General features: G+C 43.5%; 1 protein-coding gene across 163 annotated transcripts in view; it reads left to right on the top strand.

The window, feature by feature from the left end:
* The window catches only part of MAP4 (microtubule associated protein 4), a 238154-nt gene that overhangs the window by 157459 nt on the left and 62617 nt on the right, over window positions 1-18078 (top strand). For 101 of the 163 annotated variants that reach the window (NM_001384845.1, NM_001384867.1, NM_001384839.1 and 98 more), the window contains 5 exons: window positions 3040-3162; window positions 9512-9625; window positions 12549-12671; window positions 14216-15439; window positions 16451-16573. In NM_001384845.1, the coding sequence (NP_001371774.1) occupies window positions 3069-3162; window positions 9512-9625; window positions 12549-12671; window positions 14216-15439; window positions 16451-16573 (1678 nt within the window). In that variant the 5' untranslated portion in view covers window positions 3040-3068. The remainder of the gene's footprint in view (window positions 1-3039; window positions 3163-9511; window positions 9626-12548; window positions 12672-14215; window positions 15440-16450; window positions 16574-18078) is intronic. The other 62 variants (NM_001384862.1, NM_001384753.1, NM_001384746.1 and 59 more) reach the window with 11 other exon arrangements.

Raw genomic sequence — 18078 nt, 5'->3', positions numbered from 1 at the left:
TGTACAGCCTTTTTTAAAAAATAGGGCCTTTTTCTGTCACCAAGGCAGTAGTGTGATCACAGGTGACTGCAGCCTCGACTTCCCAGGCTCAAGCAATCTTCCTGCTTTAGCATCCTGAGTAGCTGAAACTAAAGGCACTCGTCACCATGCTTGGCTAATTTTTTTTTTGTATGTTTTTGTAGAGACAGGGTCTCACTATGTTGCCCAGGCTGGTCTCAAACTCCTGGGCTCAGGTGACCTTCTTGCCTCAGCTTCCCGAAGTACTGGGATTACAGGCATGAACCATTGTGCCTGGCCTGATAACAGCCATTTTAGTGGTTTTGTAGTAGGAGTTCATTGTAGTTTTAATTTGCATTTCCCTAAGGACTGATGAGCTTCATTCATGTGCATATTACGCATTATATATTTTCTTTGGTAAAATGTCTATTGAAATATTTAGCCAATTTTTTTTTTTTTTTTTTTAGACAGAGTCTCGCTCTGTCACCCAGGCCGGAGTGCAGTGGCGTGATCTCCGCTCACTGCAAGCTCTGCCTACCAGGTTCACGCCATTCTCCTGCCTCAGCCTCCTGAGTAGCTGGGACTACAGGCATCCTCCACCATGCCCGGCTAATTTTTTTTTGTATTTGTAGTAGACAGGGTTTCACTGTGTTAGCCAGGATGGTCTCGATTTCCTGACCTTGTGATCCGCCCACCTTGGCCTCCCAAAGTGCTGGGATTACAGGCATGAGCCGCTGCAGCTGGCCATCAAGTTTTAAATTGAGTTGTTTATCTTATAATTGTATTGTAAGAGATTATAATCTCTTCTACATACAAATCTTTTATCAGATTTATGATTTGCAGATATTTCTCGAAGTCTATGACTTCTCTTTTCATTTTCTTTAATAGTACCTTTGTTGTTGTCTTTTGTTTTTTTTGTTTGTTTGTTTGTTTTTTTTTTTGAGACGGAGTCTCGCTCTGTCGCCCAGGCCGGACTGCGGACTGCAGTGGCGCAATCTCGGCTCACTGCAAGCTCCGCTTCCCGGGTTCACGCCATTCTCCTGCCTCAGCCTCCCGAGTAGCTGGGACTACAGGCGCCCGCCACCGCGCCCGGCTAATTTTTTGTATTTTTAGTAGAGACGGGGTTTCACCTTGTTAGCCAGGATGGTCTCGATCTCCTGACCTCATGATCCACCCGCCTCGGCCTCCCAAAGTGCTGGGATTACAGGCGTGAGCCACCGCGCCCGGCCTGTCTTTTGTTTTTTTGTTTGGTTTTGTTTTTTGAGACGCAGTCTCACTCTGTTGCCCCAGGCTGCAGTACAGTGGCACAATGTCAGCTCACTGCAACCTTCGCCTCCCAGGCTCAGGTGATTATCCTGCCTCAGCCTCCTGAGTAGCTGGGACTGCAGGCACAGGCCACCAGGCCCAGCTAATTTTTGTATTTTTTAGTAGAGATGGGGTGTCACCCAGTTGGCCAGGCTGGTCTTGAATTCCTAACTTCAGGTGATCCGCCTGCCTCGGCCTCCCAAAGTGCAGGGATTACAGGCATGAGCCACCATGCCTGGCCGTTTAATAGCATCTTTGAAAAGCAAAAGTTTTAAATTTTCATGGTGTCCCATTTATATATTTTGTCTCTTACAGATAGTGCTTTTGGTGACATGTCTAAGAAATCTTTGCCTAATCCAAAGTCACAAAGATTTTTTCCTGTTTATAAGTTTTTTTAGTTTTAACTCTTACATTAGGTCTTTGTCTTGTCTTTTTTTTTTTTTTTTTTTTTTTTTTTTTTGCATAATAAGTTAGCAAGTGAGCTACGTTAGGTCTTTGATCTGTTTGGAGTTAACTTTTGCATATGGTATGTGGTCAGTGTCCAATTGTTTCTGTATCATTTGTTGAAAAAAAATTTGTTTCTGGGTTGAATATAATTATGTTGAATTATATTATGTTTGTAGATAGCCAGTTGACCCTAACTTTGTATGTTTCTTTCTGAACCTGTTCTGTTCCAGTACCACGTTCTGAACCTGTTCTGTTCCAATACCACGTTGTCAATACCATGCTGAGTTGGTACAGTCTTGCTCTGTCACCCAGGCTGTAGTGCAGTGGCGCAATCTTGGCTCACTGCAACCTTCCCACTCCCAGGTTCAAGTGATTCTCGTGCCTCAGCCTCCTGAGTAGCCAGAATTACAGGCATGCATCACCATGCCCAGCTAATTTTTGTATTTTTGCTAGAGACAGGGTTTCACCATGTTGGTCAGGCTGGTCTCGAACTCCTGACCTCAAAGTGAGCTGCCTGCCTCAGCCTCCCAAAGTGTTGGGATTACAGGTGGTGAGCCACTTCTCCCAGCCTGAGTTGGTACATTTATAATAACTTTTGAAATCAGGTTATGTAAGCCCTTCAACTGTTTTTCTTCAAAATTGTTTTGGCTTTTCTAGGTTTTTTGCATTTTTATATAAATTATGGAATGAGCTTATTTTGTACTTTCTTCAATATATTGGTCATTTTCAGGATTGCCATCTTAACAGTATTGAATCTTTCATTCCTGAGCATGTTATACCTTTCCACTTATTTAGGCTGGCTTTTTTTTTTTTTAATTCCAGCTCCCTGAAATTGTTGCTTTTGACAGTTTTATCCTTGTTCTTTCATGTGGAGAAATCACTACCCTCTTCGTGCCTGCATAACCTAGAAGTCACTCTGTAGTGTTTTTTTAACCTTAATGACCTACTTTATTTCCTTCTATCTAAAATTTTTTTTAGTGACAGAGTCTTGCTATGTTGCCCAGGTTGGAGTGCAGTAGCTGTTCACAGGTGTGATCATAGTGCACTACAGCCTCAAACTCCTGGGTTCAGGTAATCCTCTCTCAGTCTCCCAAGTAAATGGGGCTACAGACGCACCATTGCACCCAGCTCCTTTTATCTTTCAATTAAAAGAAAAAAGTTTTCTTGTAAGACACTAGCTAGATAGGATTTTTTATATTGTACTAGCTGTAATACTTTGTAGAAATTCCACTGTAGTGGAGGAGAAAACTGTAATATCTTGTAACTTTTGTTTTGTGTCTCTATTTTAAGGGTCTCCAACTGAATTCCTTGAAGAGAAAATGGCCTACCAGGAATACCCAAATAGCCAGAACTGGCCAGAAGATACCAACTTTTGTTTCCAACCTGAGCAAGTGGTCGATCCTATCCAGACTGGTAAGTGTTGGCTTGCTCGTGACTACTAAATGTGTGCTATGACATAAATGTGAAAAAGCTACAACCACCATTCAGATGAAAATGCTTTAGCTTAAGTATAGATCACAAAGTACAACCTTAGCATTGGTTTGTCCCTTTCTCTTCTTCATTTATCCTTTCCTTTGAGACACTTAATGCCCTCTAGTTCCCTGCTCTTCAAAACCTATTTTAAATACATTATGTGAAATTCATATACACTGAAGATTAGAGGATCCATAGTACCTTAGAACCTTAATTCTTCCAGAAGGAATTATTATGGTAATGTTAAACCAGTGCTGTTCTGTGCCAGGCACAGTGCTAGAGCCTTTATATACACATTATCGGTATTTCTTACCTAACTCTGCCAAATATATGTATCCTCTTTTGACAGAAGAGAAAGCTGATTCATACCCACTTTCTATAAAATTAAAAACAGACCAGGTGCGGTGGGTTATGCCTGTAATCCCAGCACTTTGGGAGGCCAAAGTGGGCGGATCACCTGAGTTCGAGAGTTCGAGACAAGCCTGACCAACATGGAGAAACGCTGTCTCTACTAAAAATACAAAATTAGGCAGGTGTAGTGGCATATGTCTGTAATCCCAGCTACTCGGGAGGCTGAGGCAGGAGAATTGCTTGAACCTGCGAGGCGGAGGTTGCAGTGAGCCGAGATCGCGCCACTGCACCCCAGCCTGGGCAACAAGAGCGAAACTCCATCTCAAAAACAAACAAACAAACAAACAAACAAACAAAAGCCTATCTGTAGTAGCCCAGAGCTAGAGTTGGTAGGAAGAATGAGTTCCAAAAGAGCCTTAAAGGAATAGCTTTGGTACTTCCCTGTTAGCCAGATTGAGAGCTCAAGTTATGTTTCCACTTAAATATGGCTTCTTTTTTGACATCTAACTTATAAGATGCTCATCGTTTGTTTCAAATAACCTAGTATGTGATGTTCTGTACCATTTGTCAGTTATCGGCTTTCCTAGGTACAAAGTAATTATGGGGGGAGGGTGAAGAAAAAGCTGTATTGAGATACAATTCTTTTTTTTTTTTTTTTGAGACAGAGTCTTGCTCTGTCACCCTGGCTGGAGTGCAGTGGCGCAATCTCAGCTTACTGCAACCTCTGCCTCCTGAGTTCAAGCGATTCTCCTGCCTCAGCCTCCCATATAGCTGGAATTACAGGTGCCCACTACACCCAACTAATTGTATTTTTAGTAGAGACCAGGTTTCACCATGTTGGCCAGGCTGATCTCAAACTCCTGACCTCAGATGATCTGCCCACCTCAGCCTCCCAAAGTGCTGGGATTACAGGTGTGAGCCACTGCGCCTGGCCAATAATTCACAGTACCATACAGTTTACCCATTTAAAGTATATAGTTCGGCCAGATTCAGTGACTTGTGCCTGTAATCCCAGCACTTTGTGAGGCATAGGTGGGATGATCACTTGAGGCCAAGAGTTTGAGACCAGCCTGAACAACATAATGGGATTCTGTCTCTACAAAACATTTTAAAAGTTAGCTGGTTGTGGCAGCACATGCCTGTAGTCCTAGCTACTCGGGAGGCTGGGGTGGGGGAATCACTTGAGTCTGCCACTTCAAAGCTGCAGTTACCTAGGATCGTGCTTCTGTACTCTAGCGTGGGCAATACAGCAAGACCCTGTCCCTGATAGATGTGTAGACAGACAGACAGACAGATAGGTAGAGTAGATAGAGTAGATAAATGGAGTAACTTAGGCCAGGCGTGGTGGCTCACACTTGTAATCCCAGCACTTTGGGAGGCCGAGGCAGGCGGATCACCTGAGGTCAGGAGTTCGAGGCCAGCCCAGCCAACATGGTGAAACCTCGTCTCTACTAAAAATAAAAAAATCAGCCGGGCATGGTGGCGGGCGCCTGTAATGCCAGCTACTTGGGAGGCTGAGGTTGGAGGATCGTTTGAGCCCGGGAGGCAGAGGTTGCAGTGAGCCGAGACTGTCCCACTGAACTCCAGCTTGGGTGACAGAGCCAGACCCTGTCTCAATAAAATAAAATAAATAAAATAGAGTAACTTAATTCCACTGAATTGGCCGGGCGTGGTGGCTCACGCCTGTAATCCCAGCACTTTGGGAGGCTGAGGTGGGCAGATCACCTGAGGTCAGGAGTTCGAGACCAGCCTGGCCAACATGGTGAAACCCCATCTCTACTAAAAATATAAAAAAATAGCCAGGCATGGTGGTGCACGCCTGTAATTCCAGCTACTTGGGAGGCTGAGGCAGGAGAATCACTTGAGCCCGGGAGGCAGAGGTTGCAGTGAGCCAAGATCGTGCCATTGTACTCCAGCTTGGGCAACGAGCGAAACTCTGTCTCCAAAAAAATTCCGCTGAATTGTACTCTATCTACTTACCTATCTATTTATCTATTTATGGTTATAACCATAACCAGATTCAATTTTAGAACACTTTTATTACCACAAAAAGAAACTCTGTACCTTTTAAATATCACCCCCATCTCCCTATCCACTGCAACCCTAAGCAACTACCAATTTGCTTTTTGTCTCTATAAATTTGCTTAGATTGGACATTTTATATAAAGGGAATCATATAAAGTGGTTTCTTTGTGACTGCTTTTTTTCACTTAGCATACTGTTTTGAGGAGTCCTGCATTTTGTGGCATGTATCAGTACTTTCTTTATGGACACGTAATACTCCATTATATGGCTATACCATATTTTGTTCATTATTTTATTTTTTTGAGACAGAATCTCCCTCTGTCGCCCAGGCTGGAGTGCAGTGGCACAGTCTGGGCTCACTGCAGCCTTGACCGCCCAAGCTCAAATGATAAGTACATAAATAATTTAAATCAGGAAGAAGAGGAGCCAGCAAGGGTAACAAAGGAATGACCAATTTTGAGTAGGAAAAAAAATTCAGTGGAGTTTAATTTCCTCAGCGGAAAGTTGAGTGTGGTAGTCAACTGCCAAGATGGCGTCCAATGATCCCTGCCTCCTGGTATTGATACCCTTGTGTAGTCACCTCCCATGTGGTACTAGGTTTGGTCTGTGTGATTGTAGAATAGATGGCAGAAATAATAGTGTGTCATTTCTAAGATTAAATTACAGAAAATATCATAGCTTCAGCCGGGCACGGTGGCTCACGCCTGTAATCACAGCACTTTGGGAGGCTGAGGCAGGTGGATCACGAGGTCAAGAGATGGAGACCATCCTGGCCAACATGGTGAAACCCCGTCTCTCCTAAAAATACAAAAAATTAGCCAGGTGTGGTGGCGGATGCCTGTAGTCCCAGCTACTCGGGAAGCTGAGGCAGGAGAATTGCTTGAACCTGGGAGGCGGAGGTTGCAGTAAGCTGAGATCACGCCACTGCACTCCAGCCTGGGCGACAGAGCGAGACTCCATCTCAAAAAAAAAAAATATCGTAGCTTCCATCTTGATCACTCTGTGTTTACTAATCATGAGGAAAGCCAGCTGATATAGAGAGGCACACATGGGAGAGGAGCAGAGGCCTCCATTCAACGGCCACGTAAGCCATCTTAACAGGCAGGTTCTGCAGCCCCAGTCAGGTCTTCAGATCACCACAGCCCCTGGCCAACCGCTGGACTGCAACCTTGTGAGAAACCCTAGTCATGGAGCTGGGGGAGAAATAGGTTCTGGGGCACATTTTGAAGGTCAAGGGCAATGGATTTTCTGATGGGTTGGCTGTGGTGTGTGAAAAAGAGGAGGTCCAGGATGACTCCAAGGTTTTTTGCAAAAAACATAGAAGGATAGAATGCCATTAGAGATGGAAAGACTATATAATGAGTAGATTTGGAAACATGCTACATAAAAGTCTGAAAATAAGGTGAGAGGTCTAGAGGTCTTGAATTATAAATTCAGGTGTCATCAACCTATAGATGGAATTTTAAACTGTGGGATTAGAGGAGAGGGAATGTAGAGAGAGAAAAGGTTTGTCTTCCTCCTCATAACCACTCAGTTCTTTAGTTCTCAGCTTAAATACTTATCAAGCAAAGATCTCCCTTGACTTGAACCAAAATATATCCTGTGGGAACATATATAAATGTTCCCATCCCTGACCTTGTACATCTTTGGGTTTTTTAGAGCATACTGGGTCTGCCATGTGGTAGGCACCCAGTAAAAAATTAATGACTAAATGACAGAACTCTGTAAGAATCATCTATTTTTACAAGTAATTTAGCAAGCTCCCATCTTAAAGTGCAAACCATCCAGAATTTAGTCTGTTTGATGCTTTAAGAATCCTTTTTTCCCTCAAGGGGGAAGTGTGAGAGGCAGAGCAAGCAGCGAGCTATCCCAAACCATATAGAACTGGGAAGAATGAATGTTTATCATCTCTCTCATATTCTATCTCCCCATCTTTTCTTTTTCTTAATTTTGTTCTGTTTTTATTATTTATTTTGAGATGGGGTTTCACTTTGTCACCCAGGCTGTAGCTCAGTGGTACAACCACGGCTCACCACAGACTCAACCTCCCCAGGCTCAAGTGATCCTCCCACCTCAGCCTTCCGAGTAGCTGGGACTGCAGGCATGCGCTACCATGCCTGGCTAATTTTTCCGTTTTTTGAAAATAAGGGTTTGTTTTTTTTTTTTTTAAACAAAAAGCAGGCTGTGTTTTTTGTTTTTAAAGATGGGCGGTCTCGGTGTGTTGCCCAGACAGGAGTGCAGTGACTATTCACAGTCGCCATATCATAGTGCACTGCAGCCTTGAACCCCTGGGCTCAAGAAGATCCTCCCACCTCAGCCTCTCAAGTAGCTGGGGTGTGTGCCACTTTTCCAGGCTCCCATGGTTTTCTGAAGAAGAAGCCTCAACAAGTTTCCCAATATTGCCTTCTGCTTGTTCACACTTCCCGATGCAGTGGTCTCCCCTAATCCTGAAATTTCTTACAAAAAGAGGGTGGTATAGCTGCCTCAGAGCCAAGAAAATGAACATTCTCTCAAGGCCTGGGCTTTTATGCGGCTGTCTCTGACAATTGAAGTGTCTTAAGGGAGTGATGTGTTAGTGTCACTCAGGAACTAGTTGGAAATGCAGATTCTCAGGAACCAGCAATCTTTATTTTTAACAAGTCTTCAGGATGATTAAGATAATAAAATAAATTCCAAGAAGGCCTCTTCAGAAAGTGGAACTCTTGTTTAGCCTGAACAGCTTTGCTTTTTTTTCTTTTTTTTTTGAGACAGTCTCACTCTATCACCCAGGCTGGAGTGCAGTGGCGCCATCTCGGCTCACTGCCACCTCTGCCTCCCGTGTTCAAGCGATTTTCCTGCCTCAGCCTCCCGGGTAGCTGGGACTACAGGCACGTGCCACCACGCCTGACTAATTTTTTTATATTTTTAGTAGAGACGGGGTTTCACTCTATTAGCCAGGATGGTCTCAATCTCCAGACCTCGTGATCCGCCCGCCTTGGCCTCCCAAAGTGCTGGGATTACAGGCATGAACCACCATGCCCGGCCCTGCTTTTTTTTCATGTACAAAAGCACAAAGAGTTTACCTGATGTTTTGAGTGCTTTTATTCATGCCAGCTCCTGAGTCAAGAGTTTATTTCTTCTGTTAGGATAACAATTGTTTATCTTGTCCCATTCAGACAGTTTTGAAATGCAGTTTTCTTCATCATGTCCACATGAGGTGAAAAATTACTTGTTGGTTTTTTTTTTTAAGCTTGTTAATGGCTCTGTCTTTTTAAAAAGTAACTTAAAATGAATGTTATATAAATATATATTGAAAATTTAGTTTATACTTTCACCTCTCAGAGTGTTTGTTATACAGCTGAGCATTAGTTGCCCTTTTTGTTTTATGCATTTGTTGGCTATCTGATGTACATAACCAAATCTTAGAGAAGGGATTATTTATTATTAACTCATAACAAATGAATTAGTGAATATTGATTCTCTACCATGTGCAGTCACATATGATTTCGGTTTACTTACTATTGACAACTCATCTATATTCATCATAGGATAATAAGAAATATTGGCCAGGCATGGTGGCTCACGCCTGTAATCCTAATACTTTGGGAGGCCGAGGTGGGCAGATCACTTGAGATCAGGAGTTTGAGACTAGCCTGGCCAACGTGGAGAAACCTTGTCTCTACAAAAAAATACAAAAATTAGCCAGGCATGGTGGCGGGCATCTGTAATCCCAGCTACTTAAGAGGCTGAGGCAGGAGAATTGCTTGAACCTGGGAGGTAGAGGTTGCAGTGAACCAAGATGGCACCACTGCACTCCAGCCTTGGCAACAGAGCAAGACTCCACCTCAAAAAAAAAAAAGAAAGAAAGAAAGAAATATTAATCTTTCTAGTTGCATTCACCAGGAATGAGTTTTGGATTTCTTCTATATTCCAGATCCCTTTAAGATGTACCATGATGATGACCTGGCAGATTTGGTCTTTCCCTCCAGTGCGACAGCTGATACTTCAATATTTGCAGGACAAAATGATCCCTTGAAAGACAGTTACGGTATGGCTTCTTCAAATGGATTTATTCTGTAGGGAAGGAAAAAAATTTTTTCTTTACTCATCTTTGGTTCACTGACTAGGGCTCTGTGACAAAAGATTAACAAGAAAAAAGAGACCAAAGTTTAAAATGTGAATTTAATATGTACATGAGAGGTACCTAGGGAATGAGTAACTCCGCAAGAGGTGGCTTTAGAATTCCACCTTATATAGCTTCTTCAATAAAGAATGACAAATTTTTTTTTTGAGAGGTGAGAAGATGAAGGAAAAGACTTTTGAGTCTCTAGGGGCCGCAAATTGTGGGAGACAGGTAAATGGTAGGTAAAAGCTAGTTAGTAAAGGTTGCTGTGTAGATTCCTATGGTGCCATCTCCAGGCTAATAATAGCCTTCAGCTTAAAAAAGTCCTTATGCCAAAGTAGCGTATTTTGGGGTGGCATATTCTGGTGTCCTTTAGTTGTTTAATGCCAAACAATCAACATGGCCTTTCACACATCACCTTTGAAGCTAACCACTAAGAAAAGTCAGATTTAGGGGCTGTGGGTGTGACAAGGCTCTCTTTGGATTAATCAAAGGAGACAATTCACAGATTCACAGTTGGGCTGTCATCTCCCCTTTTTTTTGAGACAGGGTCTCACTCTGTCACCCAGGTTGGAGTGCAGTGATGCGATCACGGCCCACTGCAGCCTTGGCCTCCTGGTCAGGTGATCCTCCCACCTCAATCTCCTGAGCAGCTGGGATTACAGGTGTGTACCACTATGCCTGGCTAATTTTTTGTAGAGATGGGGTTTTGTCACGTTGCCCAGGCTGGTCTTGAACTCCTGGGCTCAAGTGATCCACCCGCTTCAGCCTCCCAAAGTGCTGAGATTACAGGCGTGAGCCTTTGCACCCAGCCACATTTTTCTACTTCTTCATTTACAGGCAGACACAGTGGCTCATGCCTGTAACCCTAGCACTTTGGGAAGCTGAGGTGACAGGATTGCTTGAGCCCAGCAATTTGAAACCAATCTGGGCAACATAGGGAGATCCTGTCCTACAAAAAATTTTAAAATTCATCCAGGCGTGGTGGCACATGCCTGTAGTCTCAGCTACTCAAGAGGCTGAGGTGGAAGGATTGCTTGAGCCCAGAAGGTCGAGGCTGCATTGAGCCATGATCATGCCACTGTACTCCAGCCTGGACAACAGAGTTGAGACCCTGTCTTAAAAAAAAAAAAAAAAAAAAAAAACCATCTGGGTGCAGTGGCACACGCCCGTAATCCCAGCACTTTGGGAGGCCAAGGCGGATGGATCACTTGAGGCCAGGAGTTCAAGACCAGCCTGGCCAAAATGGTGAAATCCCGTCTCTACTAAAAATACAAAAATTAGGCTGGGCCTAATGGCTCATGCCTGTAATCCCAGCACTTTGGGAGGCAGAGGCGGGCAGATCACCTGAGGTCAGGAGTTTGAGACCAGCCTGGCCAACATGGTGAAACCCCATCTCTACTAAAAATAGAAAAATTAGGCCGAGTGTGGTGGCTCATGCCTGTAATCCCAGCACTTTGGGAGACGGAGGTGGGCAGATCACCTGAGGTCAGGAGTTCGAGACCAGCCTGGCCAACATGGTGAAACACTGTCTCGACTAAAAATACAAAAATTAGCTGGGAGTGGTGGCAGACACCTATAATCCCAGCTACTCAGGAGGCTGAGTCAGAAGAATCACTTGAACCTGGGAGGTGGAGGTTGCAGTGAGCTGAGATTGTGCCATTGCACTCCAGCCTGGGCAACGAGCAAGAATCCATCTCAAAAATTAATAAATAAATATAATAAAAATAAGAAAATTAGCTGGGCAAACAACAACAACAACAACAACAACAAAACTGCTACAAAGTATTTTAATAAAATTGTCTTCTAATGTTGGAAAGGGAGGTGTTAATCTCATTTTGCAGATGAAGAAATTAAGACTCGCAGTTTTTTACTATAGTATATTATGTTGGTTGTGGTGTTGGAACTAGAGTTCAATCATTAATATTTTGAATCTTTATATTACCCTTTATATATTATATAGAAAGTAGCCAGTGAATGTTGATTAATGGCACTACTGGGATATACTATACCACCTACTAACAACTAGCTAAAACCTGAAGAATGTCAGCAGTGTTTCCTTTAAAACTTGTTTGCGTTGTCGGCCGGGCGCGGTGTCTCACACCTGTAATCCCAGCACGTTGGGAGGCCAAGGCGGGTGGATCATGAGGTCAGGAGTTCGAGACCAATCTGGCCAACATAGTGACACCCCATCTCTATTAAAAATACAAAAAAATTAGCCAGGTGTGGTGGTGTGTGCTTGTAGTCCCAGCTACTTGAGAGGCTGAGGCAGGAGAATGGCGTGAACCTGGGAGGCAGAGATTGCAGCGAGCCGAGATCGTGCCATTGCACTCCAGCCCAGGCGACAGTGCGAGACTCTGTCTCAAAAAAAGAAAAAAAACTTTTTTTGCATTGTTTTTTATTAGTCTGTGTCTTCCTGGCAATATATGCAGCTGATTTTAAATATCAAATACCTCTTAGGCCGGGCGCGGTGGTTCACGCCTGTAATCCCAGCACTTTGGGAGGCCGAGGCGGTTGGATCAAGAGGTCAGGAGATCGAGACTATCCGGGCTAACATGGTGAAACCCCGCCTCTACTAAAAATACAAAAAATTAGCCGGGAGCTGTGGCAGGCGCCTGTAGTCCCAGCTACTCGGGAGACTGAGGCAGGAGAATGGCGTGAACCCGGGAAGCGGAGCTTGCAGTGAGCCGAGATCACGCCACTTCACTCTGTCTGCGTGGGCAACAGAGCGAAACTCTGTCTCAAAAAAAAAACAAACAAAACAAAACAAAACAAAAATATATCAAATACCTTTTGTTTCCAATGTTTACTAAGTTTCAAAATGTATTTGTTTGTGTTTCAATATTAGGTATGTCTCCCTGCAACACAGCTGTTGTACCTCAGGGGTGGTCTGTGGAAGCCTTAAACTCTCCACACTCAGAGTCCTTTGTTTCCCCAGAGGCTGTTGCAGAACCTCCTCAGCCAACGGCAGGTAAACTATTAGAGACTCCCTTTATCAGTTAATGGTTGCAGTATTGGTAATCAATATAAATCATCAGGTGTATTTTTTAGCAGCTTACAGCAGGTATAAAAATTTCAGAACAATCACAAATGTTTTGCTTATATTAGTGATATCACCACTGGAGGAATTAAATTGTTGAACTATAACACTTAGGGTTAACGGGCACATAAATACTTTTTTTAAATTTTTTAACATATATATATTTTTTTCATCACATTTTCATTGTATTAGGTATCAGAATTTTTTTTTTTAATTCAGTACAGATTTACGGCCTGGTGTGGTGGCTCACACTTATAATCCCAGCACTTTGGGAAGCTGAGGCAGGCAGATCACTTGAGGTCAGGAGTTCCAGACCAGCCCAGCCAACATGGTGAAACCCCATTTCTACAAAAAATACAAAAATTGGTCTAGGCACGGTGGCTCACGCCTGTAATCCCAACACTTTGGGAGGCCAAGGCGGGCAGATCACCTGAGGTCAGGAGTTCGAGACCAGCCTGGCCAACATGGTGAAACCCCGTCTCTACTAAAAATACAAAAAATTAGCTGGGCGTGGTGGCAGGTGCCTGTAATCCCAGCTACTAGGGAGGCTGAGGCAGGAGAATCACTTGAAACCGGAAGGCAGAGGTTGCTGTCAGCCGAGATTGCGCCACTGCACTCCAGCCTGGGTGAAAGAGCTAAATAAATAAATAAATAAGCTCAGCGTGGTGGCGTGTACCTATAATCCCAGCTACTAGGGAGGCTGAGACAGGAGAATTGCTTGAACCCGGGAGCCGAGATCATGCTACTGCACTCCAGCTTGGGCAACAGCGTGAGACCGTGTCTCAAAAAACAAAAACAAAAATTCAGTACAGATTTAGAACTCTGGAGTTTTTCTTGATAGGAAGCATGACTGACCTGCTGTCCCACAGATTATCTTTCTAATACTAATTCTGTGCCCGTGTTATTTTTGAAGCCTATGTTTTCTCTCTTCTTTGCCATTTCTCCTCCACTACTTGTCCTCCCAGTATTTTACATCTTATTCTTCCAAGTGTTGAGACTGTCAAAGAGTAGGCAGAATATGTTACTTGACATTAGCTTCTTCTTCTTTTTTTTTTTTTTTTTTTGAGACGGACTCTTGCCCTGTCCCCCAGGCTGGAGTGCAATGCCGTGATCTCGGTTCATTGCAAACTCCGCCTCCTGGGTTCTAGCAATTCTCCTGCTTCAGCCTCCCAAGTAGCTGGGATTACAGGCGCCTGCCACTGCATGGCTAATTTCTGTATTTTTAGTAGAGACAGGGTTTCACCATGTTTGTCAGGCTGGTCTCGAACTCCTGACCTCAGATGATCCATCCGCCTCGGCCTCCCAAAGTTCTGGGATTACAGGCGTGAGCCACTGTGCCCGGCCTAACATTAATTCTTAGTTATGTGTACAGTCTTATGGTCACAAAAGCCAAATACTCTCATGCCTGAAGAAAGTAAGCATTTTTAATGCAAAGGTATGAGTAGACAATGATGTGTCCTAAATTTCCAATTTAGTTCCCTTAGAGCTAGCCAAGGAGATAGAAATGGCATCAGAAGAGAGGCCACCAGCACAAGCATTGGAAATAATGATGGGACTGAAGACTACTGACATGGCACCATCTAAAGAAACAGAGATGGCCCTCGCCAAGGACATGGCACTAGCTACAAAAACCGAGGTGGCATTGGCTAAAGATATGGAATCACCCACCAAATTAGATGTGACACTGGCCAAGGACATGCAGCCATCCATGGAATCAGATATGGCCCTAGTCAAGGACATGGAACTACCCACAGAAAAAGAAGTGGCCCTGGTTAAGGATGTCAGATGGCCCACAGAAACAGATGTATCTTCAGCCAAGAATGTGGTACTGCCCACAGAAACAGAGGTAGCCCCAGCCAAGGATGTGACACTGTTGAAAGAAACAGAGAGGGCATCTCCTATAAAAATGGACTTAGCCCCTTCCAAGGACATGGGACCACCCAAAGAAAACAAGAAAGAAACAGAGAGGGCATCTCCTATAAAAATGGACTTGGCTCCTTCCAAGGACATGGGACCACCCAAAGAAAACAAGATAGTCCCAGCCAAGGATTTGGTATTACTCTCAGAAATAGAGGTGGCACAGGCTAATGACATTATATCATCCACAGAAATATCCTCTGCTGAGAAGGTGGCTTTGTCCTCAGAAACAGAGGTAGCCCTGGCCAGGGACATGACACTGCCCCCGGAAACCAACGTGATCTTGACCAAGGATAAAGCACTACCTTTAGAAGCAGAGGTGGCCCCAGTCAAGGACATGGCTCAACTCCCAGAAACAGAAATAGCCCCGGCCAAGGATGTGGCTCCGTCCACAGTAAAAGAAGTGGGCTTGTTGAAGGACATGTCTCCACTATCAGAAACAGAAATGGCTCTGGGCAAGGATGTGACTCCACCTCCAGAAACAGAAGTAGTTCTCATCAAGAACGTATGTCTGCCTCCAGAAATGGAGGTGGCCCTGACTGAGGATCAGGTCCCAGCCCTCAAAACAGAAGCACCCCTGGCTAAGGATGGGGTTCTGACCCTGGCCAACAATGTGACTCCAGCCAAAGATGTTCCACCACTCTCAGAAACAGAGGCAACACCAGTTCCAATTAAAGACATGGAAATTGCACAAACACAAAAAGGAATAAGTGAGGATTCCCATTTAGAATCTCTGCAGGATGTGGGGCAGTCAGCTGCACCTACTTTCATGATTTCACCAGGTACGTGCTTGTGCTTATTCTCAGTATTTCTCTCTACCAGGTTGTAGTCTCGAGAAGACTAAGGACAAACATCATGCCAGGTAAAGTACAGACAGTCACACTGTACTTTGCAAGTTTATTCATACTCCTGCTCTCCTAGACAACTCTTTCCCGCCTTTACCCTCCTCCCACCTCCAACACCTTTTCTATGTTCATTCTCTGCTGATTGTCCTGTTTTTCTTGCAGATAAGTCAAGCAATAAAATAGAACATCGACAAACTTCTATTCCATTATCTACCCAACTACTTGTATCTGTATCCATGGTCTCTGCTTATGAAAGTTCCCGTTTTTATAAGTAAACTGTTCCTGCTCCTAATTAAGACCAACCTCTCCTCATTTTGCCCTAGATTCCATCTCCTCTTTCCTACTCGATATATTGCCCCATGTATTCTTCCCTTTTTTGCCCCTCATACCAATTTAAATCTTTTTTCATTGGATCATTCCCACCCATTTAACAAACGTTTGTTATTTTTCCCATCTTAAAAAACGAAACATTGACCGGGCATGGTGGCTCACACCTGTAATCCCAGCACTTTGGGCGGCCGAGGTGGGCGGATCACCTGAGGTCGGGAATTCAAGACTAGCCTGACCAACATGGAGAAACCCCGTCTCCACTAAAAATACAAAATTAGCCGGGCATGGTGGCGCATGCCTGTAATCCCAGCTACTCGGGAGGCTGAGGCAGGAGAATCACTTGAACCTGGGAGACGGAGGTTGTGGTGAGCCGAGATCGCACCATTGCACTCCAGCCTGAGCAACAAAGAGTGAAAAACTCCATCTCAAAAAAAAAAAAAAAAGTAACATAACTAGACATACCTTCCCAACTTCAGCTTCCAACTACCACTTCACTCCTTTGCTGCCCCTTGTAGGAGAACTCCTCAGAAACTAATCCCATATCCAATTTCTGGCAGATGGAAAATAGCTGAAATCATGCTTCTCTGAAACGTGTGTGGCTTTTGTTATTACCTTTAGAAACCGTCACAGGAACGGGGAAAAAGTGCAGCTTGCCGGCCGAGGAGGATTCTGTGTTAGAAAAACTAGGGGAAAGGAAACCATGCAACAGTCAACCTTCTGAGCTTTCTTCAGAGACCTCAGGTAAGTTAGGAAAACAAAATGAACTCTTTGAAACAAATTAGGGGCGATAGAGTAGTGATGGTAGACATTGTCTCTAGTTCCCTGTTGTATGGTGGTAATCAGCAGTATAGTTTATGAAGTCAATTCTCTTAGACAGATTTTATCTGGTTTAGACAGAATGTCAGCTTGTTATATCTTTAAAAATTACTACTACAGCAAATCAGGATACCTAATTTTTTTTTTCTCCACTGTTTTTTTTGTTGTTGTTGTCGTTGTTTTTTTTTTTTTGAGACAGAGTCTCACTCTGTCGCCCAGGCTGGCGTGCAATGGCGTGATCTTGGCTCACTGCATCCTCCACCTACTGGGTTCAAGCGATTCTCCTGCCTCAGCCTCCTGAGTAGCTGGGATTACAGGCGCCTGCCACCATGCCCGGCTAATTTTTAGTAGAGATGAGGTTTCACCATGTTGGCCAGGCTGGTCTCAAACTCCTGACCTCTGGTGATCTGCCCACCTCAGCCTCCCAAAGTGTTGGGATTACAGGCGTGAGCGACCGTGCCTGGCCTTCTCCACTGTTTTCATAGTGAAGAAAGGACACCCAAATTTTGATCTGGTTCAGCTATTCACTATTCTATCCTGTGTGGTCTTAAGCAAGTTACATAACTTGCCTATATCTCAGTTTACTTAGCTATAATATAAATTAATTGGTCAAATGTTCTCTAAAGTCTTACTAGTTACAGTGTTCCATGGCCCAACAGCATCTACATTACCTGAGAGGCTGGTAGAAATGCAGAATCTTGGGCTCTACCTTAGGCCTTTGTAATTATTATCTGCATTTTAATTAGATCCCCAGATAATTCTAATTTTCATTAAACTTTGAGAGGTACTGCTCTAAGATACTTTCCAATTTAAAGTTTGATTATTCAGTGAATTTGAAGATTACCTGTTTTTAATAACCCAGAAGCATATGTATATGATTATCAACTTGATTTTCTGTTTACTTTTCTGTGACTATGATTGGAATGTGGACATCCTGACATATGGGACATAAGGGCCCATGACTTATTTCACTTAGAATCTCTAATGCTTTGCACACTACCTAGCACAAGACTAGAGCTTAAATAAATGTGTGATTTTTTTTTTAAATGTTGTTTTACTGACTCAACAAATCAGTAAAGATTTATCAAGTGCTTATGGTATACAAAATACACCATGTTAAGGCATATAGATATTTAAGTCCCCGTCCTTGCCCCCTGAATTATTATATTATAACCTGAATGAAGAGATAAGTTCTCAGGCATGAACTCTGAAACCCAAGATTTACATAATAATTGAATAAAATAGTATAAAAGATGGCACTGAATAGCTGCTGATTAATTGCTGAATTAAATGTTATAAATACTGGGGGATACTATAGCCTAGCAATTTTTTGAGCGATGCAATAATTAACCTGAGATATTAAACAAAGGCTAGGATTTAGAGGATATTGGAGGGGTAAGGACAAGAATGAAATCCACTATTTACATATT

Source organism: Homo sapiens, chromosome 3 (assembly GCF_000001405.40).
Source record: "Homo sapiens chromosome 3, GRCh38.p14 Primary Assembly".
Classification (NCBI taxonomy): domain Eukaryota; kingdom Metazoa; phylum Chordata; class Mammalia; order Primates; family Hominidae; genus Homo; species Homo sapiens.
This window is presented reverse-complemented; position numbering and strand designations above follow the sequence as displayed.